This window comes from Homo sapiens, chromosome 3 (assembly GCF_000001405.40).
Source record: "Homo sapiens chromosome 3, GRCh38.p14 Primary Assembly".
Taxonomy (NCBI): domain Eukaryota; kingdom Metazoa; phylum Chordata; class Mammalia; order Primates; family Hominidae; genus Homo; species Homo sapiens.
The window spans coordinates 45,086,880-45,104,081 of record NC_000003.12 but is presented as its reverse complement, the minus strand read 5'-3'; the positions used below and the strand labels follow the sequence as shown (position 1 = coordinate 45,104,081).

Genomic DNA, 17,202 nt, shown 5'->3' with positions numbered 1-17,202 from the left:
AAAACAAGAAAGGCTGAGAACATCAAATGATGGTGAGAATGGACGGCAACAGAACTCTTATGGAGTGCTCCTGGGAGTGTCAAATGGTGTGACCACCTGGGAGAATTGTCTGGCAGATTCTTATGAAGTTAAACTTACACCTACTCTCATAGTCCATTTAGTGTTGCCATAACAGAATACCTGAGACTAGGTAATTTATAAAGAAAAGAGATTTATTTGGCTCACGATTCTGGTGACTGGAAAGTCCAAGAAGCATGGCACCAGCATCTGCTCAGCTTCTGGTGAGAGCCTCTTGCTGTGCCATAATATAGCAGAGGAGTGGCAAGGGAAACGGGCATGTGTGAAAAAGATGAAAACATGAGAGGCAGCCTAGCTTTATAACAGCCCACTCTTGTGAAAACTGATCCACTCCCATGGAACTAACCCAGTCTTGTGAGAAAGAGATTAATCTGTTTTAACAACCTAATCACCTCTTAAAGGCACCACCTCCCAACATTGCCCCACTGGGGACCGACCACACCTCAATATGAATTTGGGTGGGGACAAGCTATATTCAAAGCATAGTGCTTACCTATGAGACCTAGGTATTTACTCAAGAGAAAGGAAACTATGTGTCTACTCAAACACTTGTACAAGGATATTCATAGCAGTCTTATCCATAAAAGTCAAAAACTGAAAACAATCTAAATCACCAACAGAGGAATGGATAAACAAATGTGATATGCTCGCTCATGGAGTACTACTCAGGAATAATAAGGGAAAGAACGACTGATACCCACAGCAACATGGATGAGCCCTAAAAACATCATTCTGCAGAGAGAAAAAAAGCCAGAGACAAAAGAGTATGTACCGTACAATTCCATTTCTATGAAGTTCCAGGGCAGCCAGAATCTGCAGTGATAGAAATCAGAAAATCGTTGCCTTTTAGGGGATGGGAAGTTGGGGGAAACTGACTGGAAAAGAGCACAAAGGAAACTCTGGGATGATAAGAATGTTCTAGATCTTTCTTTGGGTGATTGATACAATGGATATAACAAAATTGTACAGACTCATCACACTGAACACTTAAGATCTGTGTATTTTATTATGTGTAAATTATTTGTCAAAAAAAAAAAATCAAGACCAAGTATGGTGGCTCACGCCTGTAATCCCAACGCTTTGGGAGGCCGAGGCAGGCATATTTGGTTGAGCCCAAAGGAGTCTGAGACCAGCCTGGGCAACATGGCAAAACCCTGTCTCTACAAAAAATAGCTGGGTGTGGTGGCATGTGCTACTAGGGAGTGGTCCCAGCTACTAGGGAGGCTGAGGTGGGAGAATCGCTTGAGGCCAGGAGGCGGCGGCTGCAGTGAGCCATAAACTCCAGCCTGGGTGACAGAGTTGACAGAGTGAAACTGTCTCAAAACAATAATAATTTTTCTTTTTCTTTTTTTTTTTTTTTTAGTAGAAACAGGGTTTCACCATACTGGCCAGGTTGGTCTCGAACTCCTAACCTCAAGTGATCTGCCCAGCTCAGCCTCCCAAAGTGCTGGGATTACAGGCATGAGCCACCATGCCCAGCAAATAATTTTCTTTTTAACCAAGGGAAGATATATATCGAAAGGTTAAGACCGTATGTTTGGATGTTGGGTCCTACCCACTAGCTAGCTATGTAAGTTTGGGCAAATTACTTAACCTTTCTAAGCTTTAAATTTGTATTTTATAAAATGAATATATGCCAGGCAAGGTGGCTCATGCCTGTAATCCCAGCACTTTGGGAGGCCGAGGCAGTGGATCACCTGATGTCAGGAGTTCAAAGCCAACCTGGCCAACATGGTGAAACCCCATCTCTACAAAAGTACAAAACTTAGCCAGGCATGATGGCAAGTGCCTATAATCCCAGCTACTCAGGAGGCTGAGGCAGGGGAATCACTTGAACCTGGGAGGCAGAGGTTGCAGTGAGCTGAGATCACACCATTGTACTCCAGCCTGGGTAATAGAGCAAGACTCCATCTCAAAAAAAAATGAAGATAATAAAAACAGTATTACCTAATGCAAATTTAAATTGCAACCTTCTGTAAGGAAAAGCCTATTTATTGTGTGTACCAACACTGGAGCATAGTGTTGAAAGTAGAAACAGGCCCTCTGTACATATTTGATGAACGGTGAACGGCTGTTGAACTAAACCAAGCATCACCACATTTTTTTTTTTTTTTTTTGAGCTGGAGTTTCACTCTTGTTGCCCAGGCTGGAGTGCAATGGTGCGATCTCGGCTCACTGCAACCTCTGCCTTCCAGATTCAAGTGATTCTCCTGCCTCAGCCTCCCGAGTAGCTAGGATTACAGGCATGCGCCACCATGCCAAGCTAATTTTGTATTTTTAGTAGAGATGGGGTTTCACCATGTTGGCCAGGCTGGTCTCGAACTCCTCACCACAGGTGATCTGCCCACCTCGGCCTCCCAAAGTGCTGGGATTACAGACATGAACCACTGCACCCAGCACATGACCACATTTAATACACTTCTACAGCACATTAAGGAACAGCTTCACTATCATCTTGAAACTGGATGGCAGTTGGCAGAGTTTTTCCATGAGTGTGCCATCTATAAGTGAGCTGCATGAAGCCAGTCCCAGGGCCCACACAATTTCTTGTCTCCTCAGTGCAACCACCAGGCTAGAGGAGAGGCAGTTGGGTCCAGGGAAGCAGTGAACATCATAGAAATAGCACAGGCTTTGTAATCAGGAAGATGTCGACTTCATTGCCAGTCTTACCACTTCCTAGCCTTAGTTTGTCTGCGAAATGGTAGTGATAATGCCTCCTATGCTAGATTGCATTTTTGTTCTAAAATATTCACCACCCCTGCTGAGGGAGGATTAGACTTGGTACTGCATTGACCACAGCCTTGGCCATGTGGGTTTGCTTTGGCCAATGAGATGTGAACAGAAGTGAGCCTGCCACTTCTGAGAGAAGCCTCAGCACTCATCATGTGGTTCACATTTTCAAACTCTGTCGCAAGACTGCTGTGTCACAAATAGAGGCTTCTTCAACTTGGATCTGGAATTCAGAAGACATAAGCCAGAGCTGCAGCCAACTCACAATGAATATGTAAAGTGAACAAGAAATAAACCCTTGTTATACTAACCATTCAGATTTGGGGATCATTTGTTGCTGCAGCATAATTTAGCCTCAGCTGATTTACACACTCCCTCAAGGATATCATGAGGATGAACAGCCTAACATTGTAATTGATCCTCTACCATATACCAGTTATGTGGAGCCATGAAGTTCACATTCTGGTGGGAAAGATGAACAAGTAAAAGGAAAATCATGACTTCCTGTTAAAGATGGCTTTACTCCCTTCATACACCCTACTATAATGGGTTTTCTTAGAACATTTTTAAAGCATTTTAAAACATTTTTAAGGTACAATTTTTTTGTATTTTTAAAGACATAAAATTCAAGGAAGAAAGAGAAATAGAAAGGAAAAAATATCGTATAACATTTCATAGAGTAGAAAGGTGGTAACTGATCCAGCAGATGTGAAAGGGCAGAATCCTAAGCCAACAGTGGGAAAAACCAAGAAGAAATCTGCTTTATCCTGCAAAGCCTCAAGAATTGGCAGCAAGTCTCCTCCAGAACTGGGGGCAAATGTGGGGCTAAGGTGGGAAGAGCCACTAGAGCCCCAGATGGTCTCCTTGCCAACAAGCAGCCAAACAACTGTTCTTCCCTGAGCTGACAGAAGAGAGAAGTTTCTTTTCCTGAGATGAGAGTCCCTGAACCAAAGATCCCAGTCACACTGAAGGTGGAGGTACTAAGCTGAACACGGGGGATTGAGTAAAACTGAAGTACTGAGCATGAGGCTCCATCCTTCCTTCCCTGGTGCCCATGGGTATGTTTCTTCCCTTCGGTAGAGAATGACTTCTTCTCTGGGGGCATCTGACCAATCTAAGAGAAAAGACCCAAAGATATTGATGTTATGGGCTCCCCAGGAAGCAATCTGGCCATATCACCCTACTGAGAAGCCCAGTCAACAAGCAGAGCTATTCCAAATAGCATTAGTGCCTCACTTTAAATAAGAGCAGTATATAGATCCCCAGACATCTGGTGAAGCCTAATGAAAAATACAAAGACTAAAACAAATGAATAGAAGAAAAGCCACTTGCAGGAAACAGAGACTATAGAGGGAGAAAAAACTAAAAATCAGCTATCAAGACTCTCAAGTTAATAAGAAGAGATGCTGCGTTTATGTAAAAGGAACCGGTTGTAATTTTTAAAAAGGGCTTTCAGGAGAAAGCTCGTTTTTAATCTCCAAGAGTTCAAAGGAACTCTTGGAGATTAAAAATATGTTAGCAGAAATGAAAGAGTCAAAAGGGCTGAAAGATAAAGTTGAGGATATCTCCCAGAAAGTGGAGTGAAGAAAAAGCCAGCGCGATAGAAAGAAAGAGAAAATATAAAACTCAAGGACCAGTCAAGGAGGCCCAATATCCGGATAGATGGAGTTTTACAGAGAAAAAATAGAGGGAAGGGAATCATCACAAAATATTTCAGGAACATTTGCCAGGACTGATGGATATGAGTTGCCAACTGGAAGGGGCCACCACACACAATGGATATAAATAGACCCACACCAAGGCACAGTATTGTAACATTTCAGAATATCAGGGACACAGAGACCCTACAAGCTTCTAGAGAAGAGGTAAAAAAGTTTTATACGGAGGAAGAAGAAACCAAATGGCAACAAACTTTATCAGCAACACTGGGTATTATAAAACAATGGAGTAAGATCTTCAAAGTTCTGAAGGAATATTATTTCCAACCTAGAATTTTATACCAAGCCAAACAATTAAGTGTGAAGGTGGAATAAAGACATTTTTAGACCTACAAGATCTAAAAAAATTTACCCCCATATATACTTTCTCAAGAAGCACCTGAAGGCTGTAATCCACCTAAAAAGAAAGTAAAAATTAAAAAAAAAAAAAAGAAAAGAAAAGATGGATCCAGGAAGCCCAGGATCTAGTCCAAGAGAGAAGCAAAGGGAATCCCATGATAACAGTGAAGGAGATCCAGGATCACACCTGAGCACCAGGCATCAAGAGCAGCCCCTTTAGATTAGAGCATTGAAAAGGCTCTGGAGAGATTTCTTAAGAAGTTGAGGAAGTACCTAATGTTTTCAAATTTATTGAAAGGAGATTTATACAAGTGGAAGAGAGTTTGGGTATCAAATTATTGATAAGTACATAGAAACTAAGGAAATGATTAAAATGATAATAATTCACTACAGGGAACACAAAATTTTATGCAGAAAGGAAAAATCATTATAGCATGCAATATAGTGTAGCTACCTAAACACTGTTAATATTATTACATAGTCACGATTACACAAACATAGAATGAAGATCTAGCTGAAAATATGACGCTAACTATCAGGAAGATGGGAGAATGGGAATGGGAAGTGTGTGTGGTGTGAGTGTTCGCTAGTCTGTGCTGTGTTGTGGGGGTGTGGGGTGTGGAGGGGGTGTGGGGTGAAGGAGGAGAAATCCACATCTTCCTGAGTGGGAAGCCAATAGACAGTGCCTGAAACTGAAAGATCCATAGGCAGCAATGGAACGGAGTGTGTTATTGAGCAATGGAACAGAGCATGTTTTACTGCGGTTATCCCAGGCTCCTCCCCTGGGGTAACCACAGTCACGGATTTGTTATATTTCTCTCCATATCTTTTTTCTCTTCATCTGCATACATAAATCTGTACATATAAATAGCTGTTTTGTTTCACAGATACTCAGGAGGCTAAAGCAGGAGAATCGCTTGAACCTGGGAGGTTGAGGCTGCAGTGAGCTATGATCACGCCACCGCAGTCCAGCCTGGGTGACAGGGTGGGACTTTGTCCCCCAAAATAATAATAATAATAATAATAAAGGCTGAGAATCTCTGCTTTAAAGTATGTGCATGCATGGCTTTGGTAAGATGGAAATGAGGGAAGAGCGGGTGGGGAGACCACTGCAGTGTGTGGCGGGGCCTTGGTAAAGGTAAGCAGGGACTGCAGAAGCAGAGGGGCTTCTAACACGGCTTTGGGGTGGGGAGGTGTCCTGCAGGTAACAATGAAGGTGAGTTTTGAAAGACAGTAAGAAATGAGCTGGATGTGGGGCCAGGTGATTGAAAAGCTGACTATTTTCCAAATCAAATTATATTTAAGTTAGCAGCATTAGAATATATACTTCAGCTCTAGACATGGCATCTCTCTAATTAAAGCACTATTGGATGTGATGTCAAAATTTACGTGGAAAATAGACAGCAAGAACTACAGCAGGCAATTAACAGATATGACAGCCATAAAACATTTTCCTAATTGTGCTACTAATTTGACACCGAGCTTCCCTGCAGCCAGTTCAAGAGGAGAGAGTCCATCAATTATATGGTTCCTGTTATGAGGAAGAAGGAAGTTTAGCAGGCCTTTTTGGAAATAGAGCTTTCCCAGTTAGAATTGAACTCATTCGCCGGCGCTGATGGGTGATATTGTCAACACCCTTGAATTGCAAAGTTAGCACCACTTTGCACAGGCGCCTTCCTAATCTGATGGGCTTTTTTTTTTTTTTTTTTAAACAAAAGAATGAATGAAATTCAAAAGCAACTCAGTACAAGTTGATCCCCAGGCATCTGTGGTGTAGAGCTTTCTAGGGATAACATTAAAAAGTGAAATGAGTCTTTTATAAACCAATCTGGTAATCTATTCTAAAGAGTTGAAAAGGTATCCCTATTCTTTTTTTCTTTTCTTTTCTTTCTTTCTTTCTTTTTTTTTTGGAGACAGAGTCTTGCTCTATTGCCTAGGCTGGAGTGAAATAGCGGGATCTCGGCTCACTGCAACCTCCACCTCCTGGGTTCAACCGATTCTCGTGCCTCAGCTTCCCGAGTAGCTGGGATTACAGGCGCCCACCACCATGCCCAGCTAATTTTTGTATTTTAGTATTGATGAGGTTTCACCATGTTGGCCAGACTGGTCTGCAACTCCTGACCTCAAGTGATCCACCCGCCTCAGCCTCTGAAAGTGCTGGGATTACAGGTGTGAGCCACCATGCCTGGCACTGTTCATTTATTTCTAATGGCAAAATTATAGAAATCACCTAAATGACCAATAATCCAGCAGTTTTCCAAATGATGCAAGAAATAGGTAACTATGTTCTTGTTAGAAATTTAAATATTATAGGCAAAGCTAAAATCCTCCTTGACCACTCAGTCTGTCTTTACTCCCAGGCCCCTCCTCTGGGGTAACCACAGTCACGGATTTGTCATATTTCTCTCCAGATCTTTTTTCTCTTCATCTGCATACATAAGTCTGTATATATAAATAGCTATTTTGTTTCACGGAGAGATTTTACCATCTGCATTGTATCATACTCTACATATTATCTACAACTTGCTGTTCTGCTCAATATTTATATTTAGGTTTTCAAATCTCCCTCTTTTTTTTTTTTTTTTTTTTTTTTGAGACGGAGTCTTGCTCTGTCACTAGGCTAGGGTGCAGTGGTACAATCCCAGCTCTCAACAACCTCCGCCTCCCGGGTTCAAGCGATTCTCCTGTCTCAGCCTCCCAAGTAGCTGGGATTACAGGCATGTACCACCACACCCAGCTAATTTTTGTATTTTTAGTAGACACGGGGTTTCAACATGTTACCCAGGCTGGTCTTGAACTCCTGACCTCAGGTGATCTGCCCGCCTCGGCCTCCCAAAGTGCTAGGATTACAAGCGTGAGCCACTGTGCCCAGCCTCCCTCATTCTTTTTAACAGCTCCGTAATATTCCATTGGTGAATGTCCCCATAGTTTATCTATTCCAGTATAAGGTGGTCTCTAGTTTCCCACAATCACAGTGCTGCAGTTAAACGTGGGCACTCATGGCCATGTCACACTGTTTGGTTCCCAGAAGAGACAAGAGTTCATTCTTTTACTAATTCCCATGTTTCTGTAACAGGGTGTTCCAGGCTCCCACTGGCCGTGTGCCAAAGGGCCTGTTTCCTGTAGCCTCTCCAGCTTTCAGTATTGCCAGACATCTACATTTCCCCCCATCTGAGGAGTGGGATACAGTAACACTTTGTTTTAACTTGCATTTTCTGATTACAAGTGACATTAAGAACTTTCTATATTTTAAATATTTAGTCATTTATATCTCCTTTCCTGTGAGCTGCTCAATCATTCTATATTGCAAACACTTTCTCCCGACGTGTCCCTTGTCCTTTAACCTTATTTGTAGCACCTATCATCAGACAGATATTTTAATCTTTTTTTCACTTTTATAATTTGTGTTTATGCCACATTTTTAATGATTTTCTCTTTGTTTTTATTGTAGTGAAGTCCATTATTTTTCTTTTTAACTGTCTTTTATAGTTATTGTAATGTTGCCTTAATAATACGTTTTCCCAACATTATCCATCCATGGTCTGATATGCCATTTTCTTCCTCAGGAGAGGTTTTCTACCAATTTTTGCCATTTCCCGTGTTGCTGCTGATCCATGCTTCATGCCTGTTTTCTGTTTGTGGTTTCAGATAAAATCTACGTGGTTGACTTGAGTAATGAGCGAGCCATGTCACTCACCATCGAGCCACGGCCCGTCAAACAGAGCCGCAAGTTTGTCCCTGGCTGTTTCGTGTGTCTAGAATCTCGGACCTGCAGTAGCAACCTCACCCTGACATCTGGCTCCAAACACAAAATCTCCTTCCTTTGTGATGATCTGACACGTCTGTGGATGAATGTGGAAAAAACCATAAGTACGCCCCTGAATCAGTGCATTTGTCCCTGGCCATGGATAGCTCTTCTCTCCCCGCCTTGCCTTAGTGGGGTTCCCTGGGTAGGTTGTAAATCATATCAAAAAGGCCCATCTGGCCGGGCACGATGGCTCACGCCTGTAATCCCAGCACTTTGGGAGGCCAAGGCTGGTGGATCACTTGAGGTCAGGAGTTCAAGACCAGCCTGGCCAACGTGGTAAAACCCCATCTTTACTAAAAATACAAAAATTAGCTGGGCATGGTGGCAGGCGCCTATAATCTCAGCTGCTCAGAAGGCTGAAGCAGGAGAATGGCCTGAACCTGGGAGGCGGAGGTTGCAGTGAGCCGAGATTGCACCACGCACTCTAGCCTGGGCAACAGAGTAAGACTCAAAAAAAAAAAAAAAACCCCACCCACAGTGCAGGTGAGCAAGGGTGACCAGGAGGCAAGCAGAGTGGGTGTCAACACGTCCCTTTGGACCAGCCTCAGGTAGAGCCTGCAGCCCTCAGAACTGTGTCATACTGCCCCATGTTCAGGCTTATGTCTCTCTGCCCAGCCTTCCAATCTTCCTCTTGTGAGATCCTCTCCTCTCTTGCTCAGACTTCCCCAGCCTCTCCCATCCCCATCCCCCCACACCCCACACCCCCACTTCCACACTCACTGCCCTCTTGTCTTCTCTCACACAAGACTGTGATTCCTGAGGTCAAGAACTTTGACTCGTTCTATTTTTCATCCAGTTAGCCCCTACCGGTGCTGGACATGCACTAGTCACTTGAAAAATGTTTGATTGGCCAGGCACAGTGGCTCATGCCTGTAATCCCAGCACTTTGGGAGGCCGAGGCAGGCAGATAACTTGAGGTCAGGTTATCAGGCAGATAACTTGAGGTTGGGCAGGCTGGTCTGCCAACATGTCTGCCCAACATGGCGAAACCCCATCTCTACTAAAAATACAAAAAATTAGCCGGGCATGGTGTTGGGTGCCTGTAATCCTAGCTACTCGGGAGGCTGAGGCAGGAGAGTCGCCTGAACCCGGGAGGTGGAGGTTGCAGTGAGCCGAGATCGCACCACTTCACTCCAGCCTGGGCAATAGAGTGAGACTCGGTCTCAAAAAAAAAAAATGTTTGATGACTGAAGGCCAGTAAACCAACAGCCACCTCCTTGCTGGGCTACCATGACTTCTGATGTGTGCTCTTAGTTCAAATGCAGGAACTAAGGCCACAAGAGGCAAAGTAGCCTGCCCAAGAACACCCTATTAGGAAGTGGCAGAGCCAGAAGACGAACTAACATCTCCCCAACGCCACTCACAGCTCCAACCACTGCCCAGAACTGCCTCCTGAGCAACACGTCTGGGTGGAGTGAAACCTGTGCCCTGCCCCATGACACTTAGCATCTAAGACACAGATACACAGAAGAAAAACTTAAGCAAAAAAGGAGAGGAAATTTCAACCCTGAGTACTACCCAGAAGTTTGTTTGCCAGCTTAGTAAACAGTAAGAATGTTTACTAAGAGAGCAGAGGGACCGCTAGAAAAGGAACACAGAGGAGCCAGAAGCAGAGGGCAGGGTGGGAGAAGAGAGACCGAAGGGAAACACAGGGCAGCATGCAGACACCCAACCTCAGGCTGACGGGAGAGCTGGGGAGGGTGCACTTCTGGTCTCCTTTGTGCATGGCTAGCATGCCCCACTTCTTCCAGGCTGCACAGACCACCGGTACTGCCAAAGGAAATCCTACTCACTCCAGGTGCCCAGTGACATCCTCCACCTGCCTGTGGAGCTGCATGACTTCTCCTGGAAGCTGCTGGTGCCCAAGGACAGGCTCAGCCTGGTGCTGGTGCCAGCCCAGAAGCTGCAGCAGCATACACACGAGAAGCCCTGCAACACCAGCTTCAGCTACCTCGTGGCCAGTGCCATACCCAGCCAGGACCTGTACTTCGGCTCCTTCTGCCCGGGAGGCTCTATCAAGCAGATCCAGGTGAAGCAGAACATCTCGGTGACCCTTCGCACCTTTGCCCCCAGCTTCCAACAAGAGGCCTCCAGGCAGGGTCTGACGGTGTCCTTTATACCTTATTTCAAAGGTAAGGGGGGTCTCCCCTATCTCCATGCCCCTTTAGTTTAAGCGTTTATTTGATTTTAGTTTTGTGATCACCTTAATTAAGTTGCCAGTTTGGAAAGAAGGGATAGCTCAATATGCTGGTCCTTGCACAAGAAATTTGAAAGATAGTGAGTCCTAATCCTGACTTTACCATTAACCTAGCATGGAAAATTCCTGAGATTAGAAATAAAAAATGTTTCTGACAGTGAGAGGCGATGGTTGGTAGGCAGCAAAAACATTATCAGGTTTGAGTCTTTTTTGGAAGCAGGCAGGACGTAAATGAGAAATAGCCAGATATTCCCCAGTCCCGGATTTTTAAGGTAGTGACATAAAAATCCTTAGGCAGACATTTTTATGACTCTGCTTTTACAATTCAGAATGCAGTGCCGAGAGCACAGAGGGAGGAGCGTTGGGAGGGAGACGAGTCTCTGGAGCCAGAGTCCAGCAGCACGGCTGGGCAGACCCGACCCTCCTGGGAGGCTGGCATGTGGTCTCCATGTTCTGAGGCAGTAAATGAGGTCTAAATGGCTCACAACGTGACTTCTACATGGTTGACTTTAAAAGTCACAGTCACCATTACAAGTTGCTCCAAGAACATTAAGTTAGAGGCCATTTTAAAATTGACCAAGACCTTTGATGTTTATTTCCTACTCTTATTCTCTGAGGTGTGAGTGGGAGGGAGAAGAATCTTTGGTCATAAGATTAAGGTGGGTCCAGGCTGCCTGATATCTCCAAGGTTACCAGAGAAACTCCTTCTGAGGAGTCTTTGCAAATAAGACACATTCTCATCAGTGTGGAATGTGTGGGTTTTATCTCTCCTGAAGGTAAGGAAGGGATTAGTTGACGTGTCAGGAGCTCTTTCAGCTTTGCAGTTCCGGAACTCTTCCCAGAACCTGAAGATATTTTAATCTCTGAAACAGAAATCAGGCTATACCAGCCCCACCCCGGAGAGGGCAATAGATGAATATAGTAGCTACGTTGAGAGCATTTCTGAAGGGAAGCTGAGATAACCACCAGTTTGGGAAACTTGCCTGGTTTTTATTTGCCTGTTTGTTTTGTTTTTTTTCAAAAGTCCTGAGTACCTACTCTGACTGAGACTGATCCAGCACTGACCAATACAGTGGTGCTAGCCACATAGCAATGATTTGAATTTAAATTAATATGAGGCTGGGCACAGTGGCTCATGCCTATAATCCCGGCTCTTTGGGAGGCCAAGGCAGGCAGATCACTTGAGCTCAGGAGTTCAAGAGCAGCCTGGCCAACACGGTGAAACCCCATCTCTACTAAAAATACAAAAAATTAGCCGGTCATGGTGGCTCATGCCTGTAGTCCTAGCTACTCGGGAGGCTGAGGCTGGAGAATTGCTTGAACCTGAGAGGTGGAGGTTGCAGTTTGCAGTGAGCCGAGATCGTGCCACTGCACTCTAGCCTGGGCAACAGAGTGAGACTCCCTCTCAAAAATAACTAATAATAATAAATTAACATGAAACAAATTTAAAATGCAGTTCTTTGGTCATGCTGGGCACATTTCAAGGCTCAGCAGACATATAGCTGGTGGCTACCCTATCAGATGGTGCAGATCTAGAAGATTTCCATCATCGCAGAAAGTTCGGTTAGACAGCGCTGGTCTGGACAGTTGGACTTCGTCTCCTCCACCACTCCCTTTCCTCTCCATGTTGACTGAATGAAACATCTGTCTGGATCTCCCTCCCTTTCCTGCAGAGGAAGGCGTTTTCACGGTGACCCCTGACACAAAAAGCAAGGTCTACCTGAGGACCCCCAACTGGGACCGGGGCCTGCCATCCCTCACCTCTGTGTCCTGGAACATCAGCGTGCCCAGAGACCAGGTGGCCTGCCTGACTTTCTTTAAGGAGCGGAGCGGCGTGGTCTGCCAGACAGGGCGCGCATTCATGATCATCCAGGAGCAGCGGACCCGGGCTGAGGAGATCTTCAGCCTGGACGAGGATGTGCTCCCCAAGCCAAGCTTCCACCATCACAGCTTCTGGGTCAACATCTCTAACTGCAGCCCCACGAGCGGCAAGCAGCTAGACCTGCTCTTCTCGGTGACACTTACCCCAAGGACTGTGGGTAAGGGCCTTCAGGGTCTTTGGGGACAGTGATGAACAAAAAATTGTCAGCTGGAGGATAGAGAGCAAGCCTGGAGACAAGTCAGAATCACAGATTGAGTCCTGACTGTCCATGTATCAGTCAGCTATTGCATCAATAGTGCTGAGTAACAAACCATCCCAGAACATAGTGGCTTAGTAGCAGCCATCTATTATTGCTCCAACGTTGGCTGGGCAATTCTGGTCTGAGCTGGACTTATCAGGGCTCAGTCATTCATGCACCTACTGGCAGCTGCAGGTTGGCTAGAGGACTTTGCTGATCTTAGCTTGGTGCTTTCAAAAAGCTGAGGCTCAGCCAAGATCATCTGAGACAACTGAGATTACTTGGCTTGACTCTACATGATCTCTTGTTCTCCAGCCTGGGCTGTTTTCATGGCAGAGGCAGAGAGATCCACAAGAGACTGGAGGAGGCATATAAGGTCTTTTGATACTTTTAGGTTAGGAACTCACACACCATCCCTTCGACTGCATTCTTTTGGCCAGCCTAGATTTTTTTTAGTCAATCTACCAGCATCCTTTACCATTCATCTCTCTTTTACGTAGGGGAAGTCTCTTCACACCTATGATCTTCCTCATCTACAGAGAGTAGATAATAATAGCCACCTCATAAAAGTATCATGGGATTCGGTGTCATGAATTAAAATATGGGGACCTGAAAAGTCTGACAGGTACATGGTTTTTTGTTTAGTCTCAGTGAAACGTTGGAATCCATGAAATACCCTCAGTGGGAGGCCTTGGAGCCAGGATGATGAGTTTGCCTTTATTCCTCAAAGTCATGGGCACCACTAAAGGGTATCAAGCAAGGGAATGCAGGTGTGGCAGGGCAGGCTGTGGTGGGGCCATGTCTGCCCTTTACTCAGTGAAGGCACCGAGCATCACAGTGTCAGAATCAGAAGGGACTGTGGAGGCTGCTTTTTTCCCTTTCCCTTTCTGGGGGTCAGAGTGATTGAAGGTCCATCCAAGCCACACAACTGGTTAGCCTCAAGAGAACTGGTGGGAGCCAAATGCCACAAGTGAAAACCTCTCCACACTCATAGATTATATCCTGGGTTTTCTTCCTCTCTTAGATTCATTTTCTGTCATTTCTTTCCATTCCTCTTTCCTTTGGATCTCACCTTTTGTTTTCTTGGTGAATAAGCAAGACATTCTAATTCGCTGTTTGGTACAGGGTTCCCCCTCTGATTTATTTTCTTTTTCCTTTGTGCAGCTGCAGGAAAAGGACAGCACAAAGGAAACAACCCTCCCTTTAGCTGCCTCACTTCTGACTTTTGACTCCCTGCTTTCTCCTACCCTCCTCTGCTCTTCTCTTCTCCAAGACAGGCTGTGGCAATCAGTGGAACACACCTGTTGTAGGCCAGGAGTAGCCTTTGAAGTTGATCTGGTAGGTCCCTCAGTTTGTTTCAATTGTTCATTGCTATATACAAACTACCCCAAAATTTGGTGGCTTTGGCAATAGCTATTTTGTTTACCCACGATTTATGGATCAGGAATTCAGACAGGGCACAGCAGTGTATCTTATCTGTGCTCCAGGATATCTGGGGCCCCAACCAGAAGCCTTGAACAAGTAGAGAGGATGGCTTGGAGAATTCAACTGGAGACATATGTCTATGGCCTTTGGTTCTCACTGGGTTGATTTTTTTCCCCGGTGGAATCTCTACATGGCTAGCTTGGGCTTTCTCACAGCATGGTGGTCTCAGCATAGTCAGACTTCTTACATAGTAGCTGGCTTTCTCTCAGAGAGAAAGTGCAAGCTGACATCCTCTTAAAAGTTAGGCCCAGAACTGGCACAGTTGCCTTATATTGGCTGACCCAGATCCAAGAGGAAAGGAAATAAACACTTTGTGATATGAGGAGCCCCATGTGCACACAAGGAGCCACATGTATGGCGCTCCACCTTTGGAGAGATGGCAGCTGCTTTTGGAGATGCCTCAAGTTCATTGCAGAGCTCACCCCAGCTGCCTCTTCATCTGTCTCTTTATGTCTCTGCTCACAGACTTGACTGTCATCCTCATCGCAGCGGTGGGAGGTGGAGTCTTACTGCTGTCTGCCCTCGGGCTCATCATTTGCTGTGTGAAAAAGAAGTAGGTGGAATCTCTTACTCTCTTTATCTGATTTGATGCCTCCTCAGATCACACAGACTGGGTGGATTGTTCATTATTGACTTTGTTTTCTTGCTTCCCATTTTTTCCCCCAAAGATCAATGTTAAACAATATTGCCAGGTGTGAGTCATGCTTTCAGGAGAAAAAAAATCCCATGCCTGGGGGTGAGGGGGGGATAAAACACACGTGACATTTTCACCTGTATGTAGTTCATGGTGCAGCTGCCTCAGCACAAGTCCCCTGCAAGCAGAGTGCTGTTTGCTCAGTAGATTGATCAAGCAGGAGTGATCTTGGCAAGAAAATGCTCACGTAGGCTCTGCCAGACTGTGCCTCTGAAACCACTCCCTCCGTCACCCTAAGGAGAACGAATGTGTGTTGTCCCAGCTTGTTCTCCTGCAGTTTCTTAAGCAAACTGCTTTATCCTTGCCTGTTGGGCTCCAGGTATGTAACAGAGGCCAGGCCTGTGGCCCAGAGGAAGGAAGGCCCAGTTAACTGCCTCAGTCTCTCTTTCCATCCCCTCAGGAGGACAACTTCTGTTTTATTTATTTATTTATTTATTTTTGAGACAGAGTCTTGCTCTGTTGCCAGTGGTGCAATCTCGGTTCACTGCAGCCTCCGCCTCCTGGGTTGAAGTGATTCTCCTTCCTCAGCCTCCCGAGTAACTGGGACTACAGGCACACACCACCACGCCCAGCTAATTTTTTTTGTATTTTTTTGTAGAAACGGGATTTCACCTTATTGGCCAGATTGGTCTTAAACGCCTGACCTCAAGTGATCCACCCACCTTGGCTTCCCAAAATGTTGGGATTACAGGCATGAGCCACCGTACCTGGCTGAGCTTCTATTTTATAAAAGGAAAATGTTGACCTTTTTAGACAGAGTCCGTGCTGCCGCCAAACTGTATAAATTCTGCTCATATTTCTGACTAAAGTCATGGGAGAGAGAAGAGAGCTATTTTCCTTAACATGGTTTGACCTTCCAAAAAGCCAATCTGAAAAAATTCTTTTTTTTTTTAAGACAGAGTCTCACTCTGTTGCCAGGCTGGAGTGCAGTGGCGCGATCTCGGCTCACCGCAACCTCCGCCTCCCGGGTTCAAGCGATTCCCCTGCCTCAGCCTCCCGAGTAGCTGGGACTACAGGCACCCGCCACCACGCCCAGCTAATTTTTTTTTGTATTTTTAGTAGACACAGGGTTTCACCATGTTGGCCAGGATGGTCTCGATCTCTTGACCTTGTGATCCACCCGCCTCGGCCTCCCAAAGTGCTGAGATTACAGGCGTGAGCCACCACACCCAGCCAAAAAATTCTTTTTTAAAAATTAACTGTGGACCTGAGCAAAGAACTGAAATTCCTAGTCTACAACAAGACTGTCTACAAATGTCTCTGCTGATGAGGAAGGACTGGCTTGCAGGAGGTCTTTTCCCCATGAGAAGTGGCTGTACCTATAACACATGGGGGAAAAAGGACTGCTTTTAAGGAAACATCATGTTACTGTTTCTCTCAGGGAATTTTCCCATCTGCGGTGCACGGAATAGCCCACCCAGTTGGGGAAGCATGGCATTAACACTGGGCCCCAGGTTCCTTATCAGGAGGGAATTGGACAAGGAACGAGATCCAGCACTTGCCTCATCTTGAAACAGCGCCAGTTTAAGCCTGAGAATCGTCAGTCCAGCCTTGCTACAGGCCTTGCTTGTGTGAGGCTGCTGGCTGGCAGGTTTGCATAAGGCCTGTCCGTGCCCAAGCTGTTGTAGGAGGATGGACAGGTTGTGCAGTGAGAATGAGGAGAGACAATGCCATCTAACATGTTCACTAAGCGGGTACTTCCTGAGTGTCTCCTGGGCACTAGGATTCATTGAGGTACTGGGGACAATGATGAGTGAGACAATCTCTTCTATGGGGGCAGGGGGACTGAAAAGACAGGCAAATAAACAGTCAGTTTCAGGATAGCATGAGAAGAGCTTTAGTGGGGACAAACATTACAGGGCTTCAGGCAGGAGCCTTAGGAACCCATCCTCCTGGCCAGGGGCTCAGCGTTACAAGCTGAAGGTACCAGGTTTATTTTTATCTCAGCAAAGTACAGACAGCCTGTCCACCATTATGAACTGCCAGCCTGTGCCTTATATGGCCCATTACGCTAATTGAGCTAATGTCCTCCA

At 45.4% G+C, this 17,202-nt stretch overlaps 1 protein-coding gene across 5 annotated transcripts in view; it reads left to right on the top strand.

Annotated features, from left to right (window-relative positions):
- Positions 1–17,202, top strand: part of CDCP1 (CUB domain containing protein 1) — a 64,206-nt gene that overhangs the window by 42,401 nt on the left and 4,603 nt on the right. For 4 of the 5 annotated variants that reach the window (XM_024453718.2, XM_011534024.2, NM_022842.5 and 1 more), the window contains 4 exons: positions 8,514–8,735; positions 10,425–10,805; positions 12,544–12,909; positions 14,941–15,028. In XM_024453718.2, coding sequence (XP_024309486.1) covers positions 8,514–8,735; positions 10,425–10,805; positions 12,544–12,909; positions 14,941–15,028 — 1,057 coding nt within the window. The remainder of the gene's footprint in view (positions 1–8,513; positions 8,736–10,424; positions 10,806–12,543; positions 12,910–14,940; positions 15,029–17,202) is intronic. The other variant, XM_017007070.2, reaches the window with a different exon arrangement.